This window comes from Homo sapiens, chromosome 2, assembly GCF_000001405.40.
Source record: "Homo sapiens chromosome 2, GRCh38.p14 Primary Assembly".
Classification (NCBI taxonomy): domain Eukaryota; kingdom Metazoa; phylum Chordata; class Mammalia; order Primates; family Hominidae; genus Homo; species Homo sapiens.
The window spans coordinates 156,237,691-156,258,394 of NC_000002.12; the positions used below are offsets into that span (position 1 = coordinate 156,237,691).

Below are 20,704 nucleotides of genomic sequence, written 5' to 3' on the forward strand. Positions count from 1 at the left end.
GCAGCCTACACTAGAGACATTTATTTTCTCAAAGTTCTGGAGGTTGAAAATCCAAGATCTAGGTGTCAGCAGGTTTGGTTTCTTCCCAGGCCTCACCATTTGGCTTCCAAATGGCTGTCTTCTCACTGTGTCCTCGCATAGTCTTTCCTCTGTGTACATCCCCCAGTGTCTCTCTCTCTCTGTGTCCAAATTTCCTTTTCCCATAGCACCAGTCAGATCAAATTAGGGGCCACCCTAATCGGCCTCATTCTAGCTTAATTGCCTTTTTAAAGGTTTTACCTTCAGACAGCCACATTCTGAGTCACTGGGAGTCAGGGCTTCAACATATGAATTTGGAAGGACAGAATTCAACCCATAGCAATCTATAAATTATTTCTTTGCACTGTCCTTTTCCAATTTTGTTCCTCTAGTTATACTGACTTCTTAAAATGATTCAGTAACACCTCTTTTTTTCTGTGACTAGAACAATTCAAATACCATGGACAATATCTATTTCTTGAAGGTTTGATATATTTGAACCAAAAAAATCTCTGGACCTGGCATCTTCTGAGCATTTGATGTCTCCCTTTTCTGTGTTGTAATGTGAATGTATTACTCTTATGTCCTCTATTGTTTTAATGAAATCTAGGACTCAAAAAGAGATACGGTATGTGCTCCGTTAGGTAGATGCTTCTATGTGAATTTGGGGGTATTTTAAATACATGTATATAATCATACTGTAAAATGTTGTGACTTTTTAAATTTTATTATATTATTAAAAATTTTACTAACTATAAATTATTCATAATGACAAATTTAAAGACAACTAATATTTCATCTATTAAATGTACCAGAGGACACTTAACTCACCCTTTATTTTTAACATTTAGGTCAATTCTAATTTATACTAAACCAAGGTATACTTCTCTATGGATGAATCTTTTCTGTATTTGTGATTGTTATCTTAGCCTAGATCCCTAAAAATGGGATTATTAGCTCAAAAATCATAAATATTTTAAAGTATTTATGCATGGTACCACATAATTTTCTAAAAGCATTATATCATTTTATAGAAATTATAAAAATTCACCAGCATTTCGCTTTGCCTTCACCAACATTATAATCATTTTTTTTAATGTTTGTTAATCATAGGTTTTTAAAAAAGCCTACAGTTTTTCTAATTTTCATTTGTTTACTGATAAGGTTAAAGGTTTTTCATGTTTTATTATTTCCATATGTTTATGGTCTCTGTCCATTTATATTTATGATCTTAATGCATTTATTATCTATATATGTGGTAGAGACAGCAAATCTCCATGTATCTTGTTGCTATGAGAATTCCATTGGCTATTTGTAATCTTTTTATTTTGAGACATAATATATTTAAATATAGTGTAACCTATCACTCTTTTCTCTAATTCATATAATTATTTTAACCCAAAACTATTTTACAGTGAGAGATTGGATAAATATATTAACTTTTATTTCTTTTTCATTGTTTAATTATGTATATTGATCCTTTAATTCTATTGAAAATTATTTTACTCACTTTTTAAAAGTTAATTCTGTATTGTTTTCTCATTTGACCCCTCTCTTGGTCAGGGTTCTTAGCTGAAAGCAACAGAATCCTCTTTAACTAACTTCAGCAGAAAAGGAATTTATTGAATGATACTAGGTATTTTATAGAATTGTTGACAGAGCTGGGGAAACAGACTTGAGACTAAACTTCCAAGAATAATAAAGGCCCAAATCATGCCAGACAACTGTAAGAAACTGTACCAACACAACTTCTGTTACTACCACCAAGTACCAGGCCCAGATTTACTTTACAGCCATCATTACTGCCTCCTGCACTGATGCCATGCCTGCATCACAAAATTGATCTGGGAGTCAGTGCCAGATACCAACCAAACAGAAACTCCGTGAAATGTTTATTTTCTCCAAATTAAAGACTCGTGCACATCATGTGCTTACTCTCCAGCAATGACAGAGCCTAAGAATTTGGGTTCTGAGTTTCACATCAGAGGGCACAACTCGTAACACTGGAATTTCTCCCAAATATACAAAGGATGGCAATCACATAGAGAACAAATGCCCACAAGTTATTTTGAGCCAAATATCCATTTTTTTCTACATTTTTCTGCTGGTTTTAAATTAATAATATTGTATTTAGATTAAGAGCCCTTTAGGGCATAGAATTGGAAAATATGTTTCAGATATTGCAATATCACTTGAGCTTAAAGATAAAGAGCATAAATTCTGAAGTCAGGCTGTCCAGACTCGAATTTCAGCTTTGCCTCTTACTAGTTGTGTGACTTGGTCACATTAATTGTCTCATTTAACTTTTGTACAAAATGGAGATAGTTAAATACCTACTTCATAGGATCATCTTGGGCATCAAATAAACAGCACCAGACATCAAACAAACACTATGTGTTTTAGTGATTTTGTTTTAATCTTCTTCCCCAAGGTATTCTTTGTCCTGCTTGAAATGTTTCCATTTACTTCTACCCTTAACTTCTGCCCTTAGCCAGTTTTCAGTCTAAGCTGTCAACTTCTGTTCTATTTCACAACTCTGCACCTTAGATATTTGCTTCTGATGCGGAACTCTGTTAAATGCTATCTAAAATGATTTGTAAACTGTGGGCTGATTTTTCAATAGCATCAGTGCATAGGTTAAAAACTCTCTCTGAGAATAAGATATAATAGAAAGATGTTAAAGGAAGTGATTCTGAACCTCTTTCCAACATGAAGAGCTGCATACCATAATGATACTGACTAAACATTTCATAGTTGTTTAGCCATGTGCTAAATACTTCAAATACATTACATCATATAAGTTTTGCAATCAGATTTTGATATTGTTGTTTAGGAAGTGAGTATTAAGACTCTCTTTTGGATTTGAGAAAAATGAAGCTCACAGAATTTGACTTCCATAGTGTGGTATCCTATGGCTGCTATAACAAATGACCACTGACTTAGTGACTTGACCCAAATGTATTATCTTCTAGTGCTGGAGGTCAGAAGTCTGAAATTGATCCTTTAATTCTACTGAAAATTATTTTACTCACCTTTTAAAAGTTAATTCTGTATTGTTTTCTCATTTGACCCCTCTCTTGATCAGGGTTCTTAGCTGAAAGCAACAGAATCCTCTTTAACTAACTTAAGCAGAAAAGGAATTTATTGAATGATACTAGGTATTTTATAGAATCACTAAATCGTTGGGTTAAAACCAAGGTGATGGCAGGGCTTTGTTCTCCATATTCAGGCTCTTGGGAAGAATCTGTTTCTTCCCTTTTCCAGCTTCTGGAGGCCACCCATATTACTTGGCTGATGAACTTTTTCCATCTTGAAAGCCAGCACACTGCCATTCCTCCAGTTATCTCACTCTGTTTTCCTTTTCCATTTAATCCACATAAGGAGTCTAGTGATTACATTGGACTCACCAGGATAATCTGGGATAATCTTCCTATCTCAAGGTCAACTGATTTGTTATCTCCTCTGCAACCTAAATGTAAGGTAACATATTCACAGATTCCTGGGATTAGGTTGTGGACCTCTACAGGGAGCATTACTCTGCCTGTGACAATTTTTTAAAATTTGTTATTCCCCATCTTTCACAGTCCAACTACATTTCTTTTTTAAAAAATTTAGATTTAGCTTGAATTTATTTATTTATTTTTGTTTTATTATTTGCTTCTTCTATTGATATTTAATAGTTCATATTTTTGGTGTATATGTGATATTTTGATATCTGTATACAATGTATAATGATCAAATCAAGGTAATTGACTTTTTCATCAACTCAAACATTTATCTTTTCTTTGTGTTGGGAATATTACAATTCTTCTACCTATTTTGATATATACAATAAATTATTGTTAGCTATAATTTTCCTACTGTACTGTCAAATACTAGAACTTATTCCTTCTATATAACTGTATTTTTGTACCTTTTAACCAATTTTTTGTCCCTCCTCCTCCCTTGCCTTCCCAGCTCCTGGTAACCACCATTCTACTCTCCACCTCCCATAAGATCCATTTTTTTAGCTCCCAAATATGAGTGAGAAAAATTTGTCCTTCTGTGCCTGGCTTATTTATTTGACATAATGACCTCTAGTTCCATCTATGTCACTGTAAATGACAGTATTTCATTCTTTTTTAATATTGCATTGTGTTTATATAACACATTTTCTTCATCCTTTCATCCATTAAGAGACACTTAGGTTGATTCCATATCTTGGCTATCGTGCATAGTGCTGCAATAAACATGTGTTTGTTACTTATACCAATTTGTTTTCTTTTGGATATATATCCAGCGTAGAATTATTAGATCATATGGTAGTTCTTTTGGTTTTTTAGGAACTCTCATATTGTTTTCCATCATGGCTGCACTACTTTACATTCATACCAATAGTGTATAAACATTCTTCTTTCTCCACATCCTTGTCAGCATATTATTTTTTGTCTTTTTGATATTTAATAATAGCTATTCTAGCTGAGGTGAGATGATATCTCATTGTGATTTTGATTTGCATTTCCCTGAACGTGTGTGATGTTGGGCATTGTTTGAATATACCTGTTGTTCATTTGTATGTCTTCTTTTGAGAAATACCTATTCTGGTCTTTCACCCATTTTTTAATCAGATTATTATTTTTATTATTATTATTATTTTGCTATTGAGTTATGTGAGTTATTATTTATCTATCTACATTTCTATCTCTCTTTCTCCATTTTTTTTTTTTTTTTTTTTGAGACAGAGTCTTGCTTGTCGCCCAGGCTGAAGTGCAGTGGCATGATCTCGGCTCACTGCAACCTCCACCTCCTGGGTTCAAGCGATTCTCGTGCCTCAGCCTCCCACATAGCTGGGATTACTGGTGCATGCCACCACACCTGGCTAATTTTTTATAGTTTTAGTAGGAATGGTGTTTCACCATGTTGGCCAGACTGGTCTCAAACTCCTGGCCTCAAACAATTCACCCGCCTTAGCCTCCCAAAATGCTGGGATTACAGGTGTGAGCCACCATGCCTGGCCTCTCTTCCTCCTTATCCTTGTAGAGACATAGTACTTTCCAGTACTTACACTTATCATCACACACTGGACTATTCCAGGCTATGTAACTAAACCTAGATCTAGCTAGGTACAATGTAAAAATACCCTCAGTAATTCTCTAGATCAGAATAAAATTAGTTCCAATGATAGCCCTACTCTGACTCTGAAAACTGAGTGTTCTAAGAGACTTGTACTTTCCTACGATCCCCCATCTCCTTTCTAGTACCTAAACATTTACCCAATACCTCTGAAAGCAAATCTACCCAATTTGAGACTTCTGTAACTTGACTCATTTCACCATTAGCCTAACCTAAAGATGATCATTCTCACAAAAACAACATTGCAGAAAATACCAGATGATTCATGCAAATATCAAGTTTACTTATCCTTCTACTCCCTTAGCAGTTAGTATAGGGCTTGGCATGGAGTGTGTACTCAAAAGAGTTTATTCAATAGATTATTTTAAATCTTCTTAAAATAAATCAAATTATATTTAATATTTTCTGAGCTCCTTTATTAAGAAAAGCTTAAAATCTTTATTTTTATGCCCAAGTTTTATATAAATTTTATGGTATGTCTAATGCACAAAATAGGAAGAAATTGTTAGCAAATTAATTTAAATATTTTTAAAATATTACATAATGCCTTACAAGACTCCTAATGTGGAATACACATGAAAGTTAAAAAAACTTTTTACGCGCCGGGTGCAGTGGCTCATGACTGTAACCCCAGCACTCTGGGAAGCTGAGGCAGGCAGATCACCTGAGGTCAGAAGTTTGAAACCAGCCTGGCCAACATGGTGAAACCCAATTTCTACTAAAAATACAAAAATTAGCCAGGCGTGGTGGCATGCACCTGTAATCCCAGCTACTCGGGAGGCTGAGGCAGGAGAATCGCTTGAACCCAGGAGGTGGAGTTGCAGTAAGCTGAGATTGCACCACTGCACTCCAGCCTGGACAACAGAGCGAGACTGCATCTCAAAAAAAAAAAAAATTTATGAACTTTGTGATTTTCAAATTTAATTCAAATTTAATACAGGACAAAAGGAATCTTTTTTTTAAAAAAAATCTACCAATAATAGAAAATAAAAACACATCTGAATTTTTAATTATCAGGTTCCTATGTATTACATTTTTGGTTTTCGTGTAATTATAATCCATACTATCTGAGGAATATAGTGTGATTTTTTGGGTTTCTAAGGAAGAGATTTTAACCAAGGATATTTTCTTTGCCAAACCTTAGTGATGCATCCTTCATTGCATCATGAACCTGAGTTGTTTTCCAAACAATACTGAAGTCCCAATTCTACTGACTAACACATAAATTATGTTTTTCTCTACCTTGTGGATTTATTTGGATTTATAAAAGTAAATCTCAATCTGTACAGCTACCCATGGATTTCCTCAGAACATTCCCAAATCTTAAAACCATGATTATTGATATCCTAACTTATAGAAGAAAAACTAGATTATATATAAAAAATAAAGTAAGTCTTTATTACAAAGGAATACTTTTCACTGTATCATATCTAAAACTGCAATAATCTGGACAAGGGCTATCTAAAGGTAGAGCTACTAGTTGATCATTTGTTATCTCCTTTAAGGATACCTTCCCCAATCTTTGATTTGATACTTCTTGCCCTCAAGCAACTAGCTCTTTGTGTTTTTCAAAGCTTCTTTAACTTATATTCTACACTGTCCCTGTTCTCTCTTCCTTGTGTAAAGCTCGCTTGCTTGTTCCTGTGCCTTTTAGCTGGGTGGGTAACCAATGTGATAACTTAATTGGTGCCAGTGTGATAATAGGGATTATGATTAAATGGAGTAGGTTTCACATGTAATGCAATTATACTACTTAAGCATTTAATGTCATAACCCCATATGTTTATTAATTGTGAGATTTTCAAATATTAGGTCAAGTCAATAGTGGATATTTTGAGACAAGCAGGTACTTGTGTCATACCATAATGCAATAAGCTGCTTACTCAAGGCAAGCCATAATTACAAAATTGTTATCCCATTCTTGCATGACTGCTGAAAAGAAACCTTAAAGCATACCAAAACATCACATTTTTTCTTATTATATGGATCCTTAGACAACATATGAGCTAGGACACATGTATTCTCTTATTAATCAATAGCATATGGCTTAATGCTAAATTGCTTCTGTTTCTCACTCTACACTAGAACCTTCCATTTATTGTTTTATAAATCTTTGGATTGAATTTCCTTCCTTCCTTCCTTTCTTTTTTTTTGAAACGAAGTTTCACGTTGTCCAGGCTGGAGAGCAATGGCATGATCTCGGCTCACTGCAACCTCCACCTCCCAGGTTCAAGCAATTCTCCTGCCTCAGCCTCCCAAGTAGCTGGGATTACAGGCACTCGCCACCATGCCCGGATACTTTTTTGTATTTTTCGTGGAGACAGGGTTTCACCATGTTGGCCAACTGGTCTTGAACCCCTGACCTCAGGTGATCCACCAGCCTCGACCTCCCAAAGTACTGGGATTACAGGCATGAGCCACCTCACCCGGCCACATTTTCATTCTTAATTGTATCTTTTGGTGAAAGTTTAAATAATATTCTCCATAATTCATTACTTAACTAAATTCTTACTTTTATTCTGCAACAAAATAATTGATAATTCATAAGACAAATCTATAAAGACACCACCCAGGGATTTACAGCTAAATGAAGATGAGATGACCACAAAGAGTAGACAAAGATAAGTACTCTTTGCTTTATACCAGAAGTTAAAAACTTTAATTTCCAAGGTTATCATAAGTTTATAGTCTTAGAAAACTCATTAAAAACAGTTTGATCCAATTTTATAGAAATCATAATATATTGGAAATATTTAAATGACAGTCTAGTTTTTTAAGAAAAATCAAAGTCCAGCTGAATCTGCAATAAATACCATCAAAAAATATTATCATGTACAAAATAATAGGGTGACAACATTGTAGAAAATGATAGAAAAATAATTTATATGTCATGTGATTAACCACTATTTTTTTAATTCCAAAAGTCCACCATGTCTTTAAGAGACAAGATTAGTAAAATGTTAATAATTGTTAAAACCAGATGGGTTAATAAAGTTCATTAAATTAGTCTCTATTTTTGCACATGTTTAAACTTCTATAATAAAACATTTAAACATAAAGAAAAAGATATATAGATTATAATTACTGAAATACATAGTCTCAAAAGATAGATATTTAGTAGGTGTCAATGATAGTTCATTAACTGTCCTCTGAATCAGTAGGCAAATTTTTATCTGCTTAGGTTATGGTAAATTCATCTTTGGAAAAATAGTGGATTACAAGAGGAAATCTCAACCAAACCTGGGAAAGTAAACTAAAGAGAAATAAGAGCAGAATAATTCAATGAAAATTCTATTGTCATATAATCCTGATGATATATTATCAAGGTTAGTAAAATGGTTGGCCAACATCTATTATTATAGAACTAATATTACAGGTATATTCTATGATAGGAGCAAAGAAGACGGTAAAAGAGAGAAAAGGTCTCAAGACTTAGAAAAGAAATTATAGTTAGGAAGCTAAAAGAATGTAGAGGCTGTGATGCAGGTAGGAAACCCATATCCAATATGGACACAGGAGTTTGAAACGGTGAATCGGTGAATAAAACATAAAAGGCCCAAGGATAAGCACTGGTAACTGAATAACACTTGTGTCTTAATGCACATTCCACCACTACATCTCCAGCACTCCCTTTCCTTCTCCCACTGCAAGTGGGTAAAAATCCATTATCAAGACTATTCAATTCCTTAAACTAAGAACACTGGGGTATTTTGAGAGACATTAGAGAGTGTGGCTAAATGTACATACTCTAGAGCCAGATGTACTCGATAACTATATCACCTTCCTTACCTGTAAGACAGAGATAACAGTAGTATTCACTTATTTCTGTTATTACAGAGTTTGTTGAAATGATAATGTGATGGTTGACCAGTCCTTAGCCATTGGATTGCACAGAAAACTTCAAAGAAAGTAGCCCTCTTCTGTAACCACCTGGAATTTAAAATTTACCCAGAACTTTTAATAGTTTTAAACACAGATAATTATTCCCTACCAAAGAAAAGCTGAGGCATGGAAGTTGTTTACTTTCACAAACACATTTTTCTATATTTTAAACAGGCAAGGAGCTTAAAAGATAATTTTAGAAAATGAGGCATCTGGCCTTACCTCTTGATCTCTAGAAAACCTCAGTATAAAATAGGCTGAAAAAATAAAGGAGACTTTTTTCAAGCAGTTCATATTTGCCACAGTTAAACACTGCTGAGGGTAAAGTTATGGCCTTTCAAAGAAAGAATTCACTTGCTTTCCACAGCTTCAGACTCTGTACAGTGAAATGTCCATCAAAGAAGAAGATAAAGAGGGTGAGTTGACCACTTAGCTGAGAAATAAAGATCAAAAGAGTGATGGTGTAGTAAGTGGTAGAACCATCACTGGATAAGATGTTCAGCAAAACATGTCCTAAATCCATTTTGCCTCTAAGTACAGAATCTTACCAAGTCACCCTACTTTTTCAAACTTTTTGATTATCTGTTTCTTGTGGGGATTGAATTATATTAGCTCCAAAATCCCAGCACTAAAAGTATGTAGCTCAAATCCTCACAATTCTCATCCAGTAACCTAGATGCTTTTGTAAATTTCCTCCACATTTCAAATTTTTTTTTTTTTTTTTTTGCTGCAGACCACACTCTTGATCTAACACTTTAATATTACCTCAGAGGAATGTCACAAGTAGACTAGACTTTAAAGAGACATTTGATGAAGTGTCTCATTATGTTCTTGTGAATGAAAGAGACACATGAGCTGGGTAATACTACAGTATGTGGATTTATATTTTTTCTATCTACTATACCAAAAGAATAATAATTGACTGATGATTGGTTCATTAATTACTTCATTAGTTAATAGATTGCAGTCTTTATAAATAAGTTTATAGTTGTATTCCACAGAATTTCTGATCCTGTCTCTGCCCTACCCAATGTTTTATCATTAAACTTCATTTACATAAGATAGTATGTTCAACAAATATAAAGATTTGCTGGAATGGAAGGCACAGTAAGATATTTCACAGGATAAAATTAAAGTAGATGTCAACAGAGTAAATCAAAGTGAAATTTAATAGAGTTAAACAGTAAGTGTTTTAAATACCAGGATTAAATTCCATGAAGCTGCAGCTTTTAAAAAAAGGCACAAAGTGGAATAAGAAAAAATGACTTTCAGAAAGTTAATGTAAAGAAAGCTCACGGTTTTCATTGGCTGCCTGCTCAGTTTGAGGTGATCTCATGATGTGGTGAATAAGTAGACACCGTCTCTCCGAGCTACCTTGACAGAAGTGTGGTGACCAGAACTAGGTAGAGATGGGCCTATTACATTCTGTGCTACTCATAAGTCACCTATCGTATCACAATTTAGTTCTTGGTACCACACTCTAGTAGGAAAATATATCATCAAAAGATATTCAAAGTAGAGGGCAAAGGTGGAGAAGAATATTTTTAAAAATTAATTACGAAAAACAGCTGGAAGAACTTAAGTTGCTAATTCTATAAAGTATTTAAATATTGATAGGGCATGAAGAAGAAAAGAAGCATAATAACAGAAAGGAAGAGGAGGAAACCTAAGATTTGACAACTACACCAACAATTCATGCATTAATTTAGCAAATATTTACTGAGGACCAATTATGTGCCAGGCCTGATACGAGCTGCTAAAGATTCAGAAAGAATAGTCTCCACCCTTAAAGGCATTTACAATATTACAGAAGAAACAAGCAAAGAAGTGACTGCAATAAGATTGATTAGCGCTATCAGAGCACATAGGACAGATATGTAGCACTGGATGAACTTGACAAGATTTCCCAGATAAGATGTCTGTGTCTGGCACTGAGCCACTTAATGGCATCTCATTTATCCACCTGGCTTCATATGACTATAATAAATATGATTATAAGCCTTCAGTTAGGAGTTATGTGGAGAGATTTTTGGCTAAATGTGAAGAAATATTTTGAAATTTGTAGTTGTCTAAGAATAGAATAGTTGCCATGTAAGTGACGTGTCCCCTGCTATTCGAAGAGTTTGAAAAGAAGATTAACAATCAATTATTACACTGCATTATATTCTATTTCTCCTGGCTCTAAATTTTGAATTCTTTCTATGCTTAAAAATCACTAAACTTGTAGATTGGCAGAATAATAAATTTTGACTATTCCCTACCATATGCTCAAATCCTTGTGGAATGATTTGATGTAGTGATATAAAGGAAATGAATAGTAGAGAGTTGGACTTAATAGTCCAAAATACTTGTCTTCCACATCAGAATCACCTGGAAAGCTCTATTTAAGATATAAATAACAAGAATATCACCTAAAAGAATGATTTGATAAAGCTGAGATGAAATCAGGGCATCTTTACGTTTTAAAATTTCCCCAAAGTTGTTCACGGCCAGGTTAGAGAATTGCTGGACTCAGTGACTTCTAAGGTCTTTTAAAATTCCAAGATTCTACTGTCTCCTCAATTCCCATTCCCATGAAAACTTATTTGATGCAATCCATTTCTTTAATTAATTTAATGTTCTTATCCTGCTATCAAGGCAGCCTGATTTCTGGTAATAAATGTGCCTCAGTTGTATTTTTAAGAAGCTACTTTTCTTACTTCAATTGTGTAACTTGGGTTCTACCACTGATTAATTCTCTGGGTTACAGATAGGACACTTTGCCCAGTAACAAAAATAAACACAGACCTAGATTGGATTGGGATTCCTAAATCAAGCAAGTTGCTCAATTAAAACCAGATTGTGATCTTTTGTTCATACTACTTCTCATTTTTATTTTCTTTTTGTTTGTTATTTATGGAAATGTATCATCCAGAGAACGAAAACTACATCCATATATGTATGTATAAAAAGGCAAACCTGTCCACTATATAGTTTGGGCCACAACAAGATCGTAAATTATGTAGTTGAATGTAATCTCTGGCCTGACAAAAAGCATTAATAGGTGTATTCATCTCCTATTAAGCTAGAACAAATAACTGCAGATTTAATGACATCAAACAACAAAAATTTATCTTACAGTTCTGTAGGTTAGAAATGCACCATGAGAGCCAGGTGCAGTGGCTCACGCCTGTAATCCCAGCACTTTGGGAGGCCGAGGCGAGTGGATCATGAAATCAAGAGTTCAAGACCAGCCTAACCAACACGGTGAAACCCTGTCTCTACTAAAAATACAAAAATTAGCTGGACGTGGTGGCGCTTGACTGTAATCCCAGCTAGTCAGGAGGCTGAGGCAGGAGAATCGCTTGAACCCAGGAGGCAGAGGTTGCAGTGAGTGGAGATTGCACCACTGCACTCCAGCCTAGGCGAGAGTGAGACTCCATCTCAAAAAAAAAAAAAAAAAATTAAAGAAGTGCACCATGAGTTTCATTGGGCCTAAATCAAGGCATCTACAGGACTGCTTTTTTTTTTCTGAAGGCTCTAGAGCAGAATCTGTTTGCTTACTTTTGCCAGCTTTTACAGGCCATCCATTTCTTGGCTCCTGACGCCACCTCTTTCCATTTCCAAAGCCACCAACATTCCACCTCTCTGCCCATTCTTTCATAGTCACATCTCCCTCTGATCACAGTCAGGAAAGGTTTTCTGGCATTAGACACAGGTAGATACATTGGGCCAACCCAGATAAACCAGGATAGTTTCCCATATCAAAATTCTTATCTTAATCACTGCAAAGTACCTTTTGTCATTCAAGGTAACATATACAGAAGTTTCAGGAGTTAAGACATGGACATCTTTTGCAAGCCATAATTTTCCTTACTATAATGTCCAAAGGGGAGAGATCTTCCCATAGGTTTCTCTAAGTCCAGATTGTATCACCAATATCATATATTCTTAGAGGAAACAAATATTTTAGGCCAGCATAAAGTCTATGTAAGCTTCATTGCACAAATTTTCCAGTGTCTAGTTTGGCTGCTCAAAGTCTTTTTTCACTTATTTTTATATTCTGGATCATACTATTAAATGGGTCATTAGCAAACAAGGGAATTGTTACTCTATAAGACACTGCCTAATGTGATTTGGCTATGTCCCATCCAAATCTCATCTTGAATTGTAGCTCCCATAATCCCATGTGTCGTGGGAGGGACCCAGTGGTAGGTAATTGAATCATGGAGGTGGGTTTTCCTATGCCATTCTCATGATAGTGAATAAGTATCACAAGATCTGATGGTTTTATAAGAGGCAGTTCCCCTGCACATGCTGTCTTGCCTGCCACCATGTAAGATGTGCCTTTGCTCTTCCTTCACCTTCCGCCATGACTGTGAGGCCTCCCCAGACATGTGGAACTGTAAATCCATTAAACTTCTTTTTCTTTATAAATTACCCAGTCTTGGGTATTTCCTCATAGCAGTATGAGAACGGACTAATACACTGCCCTACCTTCAATCAGCTTGGTAAATTAGCCTTAAGTATGTGCATACTTAGAGTTGTGCAGACATCATAGAGTGTAAATCACATGGTTATAAGTAGATACATACCATATTTAAAGATTCATACTGATTATACTGTATGTTCCCAAAATTAAATTGGAGTCATTAATTAGTACAATATTACCTAATTTAGTTTAACTACTTGCTCTCTAATTTCTGCTATGAATGCCTATATCAATATGAACTAACTCTGGATTCATTTAAGCCTTCTTGATTTTCTTGCCATACCTCTGAGTTCTGTGATGCTACAAGACACTAATTTCCAATTCATATCATTATAAATTAAGACATTTTAATTTAAAAACTATAACATAAAGCCAGTATAATCTAGTTAAGGGTACAATGAGACGAGATCACACTACTGCACTCCAGCCTGGGCAACAGACTAAAATCCTGTCTCAAAAAAAAAAAAAAAAAAAAAAAAATCTACTTACCACAGAGTGAACTAGGATCTAAATCCAAGTCTGTCCAACTCCAAATCTAGTGAAGAATCCAGGGTTTAGATCCACATCTGATTTTGAAGTTCATGATCTCATATCACCACCTCACTCTATCATTAATCTAAAACTTCTTTATTCATTCTGTCTCCCCAATCAATATCATACACTCTGCTTTATTTATTTCCTGGAATGTGACTATCTGAAGTCGTTTTTTCATTTACTGGTTTACTTATTTATGGACATCCCCCTTCACTTGACTATGATCTCCTTAGGGGGGATTTTGTCTCATTTACCAATGCATCACTAGTTATCAATATCAAATAGTAATCAATAATTATTTATTCAGGGGCCAGGCGCAGTGACTCACCTCTGTAATCTCAGCACTTTGGGAGGCCGAGGTGGGCAGATCACGAGGTCAGGAGATCGAGACCATCCTGGCTAACACGGTGAAACCCCATCTCTACTAAAAAATACAAAAAATTAGCCGGGAGTGGTGGCGGGCACCTGTAGTCCCAGCTACTCGGGAGGCTGAGGCAGGAGAATGGCATGAACCCAGGAGTTGGAGCTTGCAGCGAGCCGAGATTGTGCCACTGAACTCCAGCCTGGGCGACAGAGCGAGACTCCATCTCAAAAAAAAATTATTATTATTATTATTTCTTCAATAGCTAAATGAATATGAACATTTTCTATTTCAGCTCCACAGCCTCTGAAAACTGTTGATGCAAAGCAAAAAGACTTTAGCCAAAATTTTAATATAGGCTTTTTCAAACACACAGTCAAGTGGAAAGAATAACATGATAAAATCCATATAAACTCCAAATGAATTCTGAATTCAGTTACTTTTAGAATTTTCCGTATTTGGCAGAGGTTGGTGGCACATGCCTGTAATCCCAACACTTTGGGAGCAGGCAGATCACCTGAGGTCAGGAGTTTGAGACCAGCCTGGCCAACACGGCGACACCCCATCTCTACTAAAAATACAAAAATTAGCCAGACGTGGTGTCATGCATCTGTAATGCCAGCTACGCAGGTGGCTGAGGCATAGAATTGTTCGAACCTCTGAGGCTGAGGTTGCAGTAAGCCCAGATGGCACTACTACACTCCAGCCTGGGTGACCAAAAAAAGAAGAAGAAGAAGAATTCTTCCATATTCTCTCTCTCTTCTTTAATTTCTATTTTATTTTATAAACATATCAAAAATTGGCAACCATTTAATATTTATAAGATATGAGGGACATATGCCAACAAGTAAAAGATCAAAACCCATGAGTATCCAATGGAAAAACTATTATGTAAAGAGATGATCAACCACACTGATTTTTATGTGGATGCAAATTAAAACATGAGGCACCACTTTATATACATCACTTTGACAAAAACTAGAAATATCACCAAATGTTTGTGAGATTATGGAGAAATAGGAATCTTGTGCATCGTGGCAGGCATGAAGAGCAACAGAGCCCTTTTAGTCTGGCAGTGTGAACTGTGGTATGGAATGTGCATCGCCTAAGACACAGCAATCTTTCTCCTCAGTATATGTCCAGAGAAATATGTGCAGAGATACCAAAGGAGTTGTGTGTCATTATGTTTATCACAGCATTATTTGTGATAGAAGGAAGTTGGAAGCAATTTAGGTGCACTTTGCTAGGGAAATAAAGTAGAATAAATGTGTACTATGGAATACTATGATCAGAGCAAAATGACACATAGGAAAATAGGCATAAATCAAGAAAACATAGTGAAGAATAAGAAAATCAAAAAATGAATGAGATTAAAATACGCTATCACTTATATAAATATAAAGCATACAAATATAAAACAATATTTTATATTTTTCAGATTCCATATATATACATATATATGTGTAATCTGAAAAAATACATATATCCAAATGCAGTTGAGTGGTCAGGGGTGGCTTGAAAATAACAAGAAGATAAAAGGTGAACAAAGAGAAAAGAGGATAGCATACCATGAACAGAGGAATTTGATTGATTTTGTTTTCTGCAGATAATTTTTTAACTTCTCAATAAAATAAAATAAAAGTAATGTAAAACTCTACTTAGTTCATTTGCAAATTTCTGCCTGTCATAAACCTTGTGCCCATCAACAATGCATAATTTCCTAATGGTTGATCATTTCTGTATATAATTACTTTTCTGTTAAGAACTCTTGGGCTTGCAAAATAGACCCCAAATAGCCAATTCAATCCTAAGCAAAAAGAACAAAGCTGGAGGCATCACGTTACCCTACCTCAAACTATACTACAGGGCTACAGTAATCAAAATAGCATGGTACCAGTACAAAAACAGACACACAGACCAATGGAACAGAATAGAGAACCCAGAAATAAGACTGTATACCTGCCACTATCTAATCTTTGACAAATCTGACAAAAACAAGCAATGGATAAATTTATTGAATGGGGAAAAGATTTTCCATTCAATAAATAATGCTGGGATAACCGGCTAGCCATATGCCAAAGTTTAAAACTGGACCCCTTCCTTACACATTATACAAAAATTTACTCAAGATGGATTAAAGGCTTAATTACAAAACCCAAAACTATAAAAACCCAGAAGACAACCTAGACAATATCATTCAGGACATAGGCATGGGCAAAGATTTCATGACAAAGACACCAAAAGCAATTGCAACAAAAGCAAAAATTGACAAATGGGATCTAATTAAAGAGCTTCTGCACATCAAAAGAAACAATCAACAGACTAAACAGACAACTACAGAATGGGAGAAAAATTTTTGCAACCTATGCATCCTACAAAGGGCTAATGTTCAGCATCTACAAGGAACTTTAACAATTTCCAAGAAAAAACAACCCCATTAAAAACTGGTTGAGGAGGAGCCAAGATGGCCGAATAGGAACAGCTCCAGTCTACAGCTCCCAGCGTGAGCGACGCAGAAGACGGGTGATTTCTGCATTTCCATCTGAGGTACCGGGTTCATCTCACTAGGCAGTGCCAGACAGTGGGCGCAGGTCAGTGGGTGCGCGCACCATGTGCAAGCCGAAGCAGGGCGAGGCATTGCCTCACTTGGGAAGCGCAAGTGGTCAGGGAGTTCCCTTTCCGAGTCAAAGAAAGGGGTAAAGGACGCACCTGGAAAATCGGGTCACTCCCACCCGAATACTGCGCTTTTCCGACCGGCTTAAAAAACGGCGCACCACGAGATTATAAGCCGCACCTGGCTCGGAGGGTCCTACTCACAGGGAGTCTCGCTGATTGCTAGCACAGCAGTCTGAGATCAAACTGCAAGGCGGCAGCGAGGCTGGGGGAGGGGCGCCCGCCGTTGCCCAGGCTTGCTTAGGTAAACAAAGCAGCCGGGAAGCTCGAACTGGGTGGAGCCCACCACAGCTCACGGAGGCCTGCCTGCCTCTGTAGGCTCCACCTCTGGGGGCAGGGCACAGACAAACAAAAAGACAGCAGTAACCTCTGCAGACTTAAATGTCCCTGTCTGACAGCTTTGAAGAGAGCAGTGGTTCTCCCAGCACGCAGCTGGAGATCTGAGAACGGGCAGACTGCCTCCTCAAGTGGGTCCCTGACCCCTGACCCCCGAGCAGCCTAACTGGGAGGCACCCCCCAGCAGGGGCACACTGACACCTCACACGGCAGGGTATTCCAACAGACCTGCAGCTGAGGGTCCTGTCTGTTAGAAGGAAAACTAACAAACAGAAAGGACATCCGCACCAAAAACCCATCTGTACATCACCATCATCAAAGACCAAAAGTAGATAAAACCACAAAGATGGGGAAAAAACAGAACAGAAAAACTGGAAACTCTAAAACGCAGAGCACCTCTCCTCCTCCAAAGGAACGCAGTTCCTCACCAGCAACGGAACAAAGCCGGATGGAGAATGACTTTGATGAGCTGAGAGAAGAAGGCTTCAGACGATCAAATTACTCTGAGCTACGGGAGGACATTCAAACCAAAGGCAAAGAACTTGAAAACTTTGAAAAAAATTTAGAAGAATGTATAACTAGAATAACCAATACAGAGAAGTGCTTAAAGGAGCTGATGGAGCTGAAAACCAAGGCTCGAGATCTACGTGAAGAATGCAGAAGCCTCAGGAGCTGATGCGATCAACTGGAAGAAAGGGTATCAGCAATGGAAGATGAAATGAATGAAATGAAGCGAGAAGGGAAGTTTAGAGAAAAAAGAATAAAAAGAAATGAGCAAAGCCTCCAAGAAATATGGGACTATGTGAAAAGACCAAATCTACGTCTGATTGGTGTACCTGAAAGTGATGGGGAGAATGGAACCAAGTTGGAAAACACTCTGCAGGATATTATCCAGGAGAACTTCCCCTATCTAGCAAGGCAGGCCAACGTTCAGATTCAGGAAATACAGAGAACGCCACAAAGATACTCCTCGAGAAGAGCAACTCCAAGACACATTGTCAGATTCACCAAAGTTGAAATGAAGGAAAAAATGTTAAGGGCAGCCAGAGAGAAAGGTCGGGTTACCCTCAAAGGGAAGCCCATCAGACTAACAGTGAATGTCTCGGCAGAAACCCTACAAGCCAGAAGAGAGTGGGGGCCAATATTCAACATTCTTAAAGAAAAGAATTTTCAACCCAGAATTTCATATCCAGCCAAACTAAGCTTCATAAGTGAAGGAGAAATAAAATACTTTACAGACAAGCAAATGCTGAGAGATTTTGTCACCAGCAGGCCTGCCCTAAAAGAGCTCCTGAAGGAAGCGCTAAACATGGAAAGGAACAACCGGTACCAGCCACTGCAAAATCATGCCAAAATGTAAAGACCATCAAGACTAGGAAGAAACTGCATCAACTAACGTGCAAAATAACCAGCTAACATCATAATGACAGGATCAAATTCACACATAACAATATTAACTTTAAATGTAAATGGACTAAATGCTCCAATTAAAAGACACAGACTGGCAAATTGGATAAAGAGTCAAGACCCATCAGTGTGCTGTATTCAGGAAACCCATCTCACGTGCAGAGACACACATAGGCTCAAAATAAAAGGATGGAGGAAGATCTACCAAGCAAATGGAAAACAAAAAAAGGCAGGGGTTGCAATCCTAGTCTCTGATAAAACAGACTTTAAACCAACAAAGATCAAAAGAGACAAAGAAGGCCATTACATAATGGTAAAGGGATCAATTCCACAAGAAGAGCTAACTATCCTGAATATATATGCACCCAATACAGGAGCACCCAGATTCATAAAGCAAGTGCTTAGTGACCTACAAAGAGACTTAGACTCCCACACATTAATAATGGGAGACTTTAACACCCCACTGTCAACATTAGACAGATCAACGAGACAGAAAGTCAACAAGGATACCCAGGACTTGAACTCAGCTCTGCACCAAGCAGACCTAATAGACATCTACAGAACTCTCCACCCCAAATCAACAGAATATACATTTTTTTCAGCACCACACCACACCTATTCCAAAATTGACCACATACTTGGAAGTAAAGCTCTCCTCAGCAAATGTAAAAGAACAGAGATTATAACAAACTATCTCTCAGACCACAGTGCAATCAAACTAGAACTCAGCATTAAGAATCTCACTCAAAACCGCTCAACTACATGGAAACTGAACAACCTGCTCCTGAATGACTACTGGGTACATAACGAAATGAAGGCAGAAATAAAGATGTTCTTTGAAACCAACGAGAACAAAGACACAACATACCAGAATCTCTGGGACACATTCAAAGCAGTGTGTAGACGGAAATTTATAGCACTAAATGCCCACAAGAGAAAGCAGGAAAGATCCAAAATTGACACCCTAACATCACAATTAAAAGAACTAGAAAAGCAAGAGCAAACACATTCAAAAGCTAGCAGAAGGCAAGAAATAACTAAAATCAGAGCCGAACTGAAGGAAATAGAGACACAAAAAACCCTTCAAAAAATTAATGAATCCAGGAGCTGCTTTTTTGAAAGGATCAACAGAATTGATAGACCACTAGCAAGACTAATAAAGAAAAAAAGAGAGAAGAATCAAATAGACACAATAAAAAATGATAGAGGGGATATCACCACCGATCCCACAGAAATACAAACTACCATCATAGAATACTACAAACACCTCTACGCAAATAAACTAGAAAATCTAGAAGAAATGGATAAATTCCTCGACACATACACTCTCCCAAGACTAAACCAGGGAGAAGTTGAATCTCTGAATAGACCAATAACAGGATCTGAAATTGTGGCAATAATCAATAGTTTATCAATCAAAAAGAGTCCAGGACCAGATGGATTCACAGCCGAATTCTACCAGAGGTACAAGGAGGAACTGGTACCATTCCTTCTGAAACTATTCCAATGAATAGAAAAAGAGGGAATCCTCCCTAACTCATTTTATGAGGCCAGCATCATCCTGATACCAAAGCCGGACAAAGACACAATGAACAAAGAGAATTTTAGACCAATATCCTTGATGAACATTGATGCAAAAATCCTCAATAAAATACTGGCAAAATGAATCCAGCAGCACATCAAAAAGCTTGTCCACCATGATCAAGTGGGCTTCATCCCTGGGATGCAAGGCTGGTTCAATATACGCAAATCAATAAAGGTAATCCAGCATATAAACAGAGCCAAGACAAAAACCACATGATTATCTCAATAGAGGCAGAAAAAGCCTTTGACAAAATTCAACAACCCTTCATGCTAAAAACTCTCAATAAATTAGGTGTTGATGGGACGTATCTCAAAATAATAAGAGC

The 20,704-nt window shown here is 36.7% G+C and overlaps 1 long non-coding RNA gene across 2 annotated transcripts in view, besides 1 other annotated feature; it reads right to left on the reverse strand.

The window, feature by feature from the left end:
• LINC01876 (long intergenic non-protein coding RNA 1876) overlaps positions 1–17,241 on the reverse strand; it is a 234,397-nt gene extending 217,156 nt beyond the window's left edge. For both annotated transcript variants that reach the window (NR_110249.2, NR_110250.2), the window contains exon 1: positions 17,088–17,241. This is a non-coding gene — a long non-coding RNA (long intergenic non-protein coding RNA 1876). The remainder of the gene's footprint in view (positions 1–17,087) is intronic.
• Positions 1,348–1,517: an enhancer, noted in NCBI's record as "experimental_53336 CRE fragment used in MPRA reporter constructs". NCBI's record gives its function as "activates a minimal promoter by MPRAs in K562 erythroleukemia cells, with activity observed for the non-introgressed 2:157095635 variant allele {active_cell/tissue: K562}" and the evidence as "EXISTENCE:reporter gene assay evidence [ECO:0000049][PMID:34662402]".
• Positions 17,242–20,704: the final 3,463 nt, after the last annotated feature.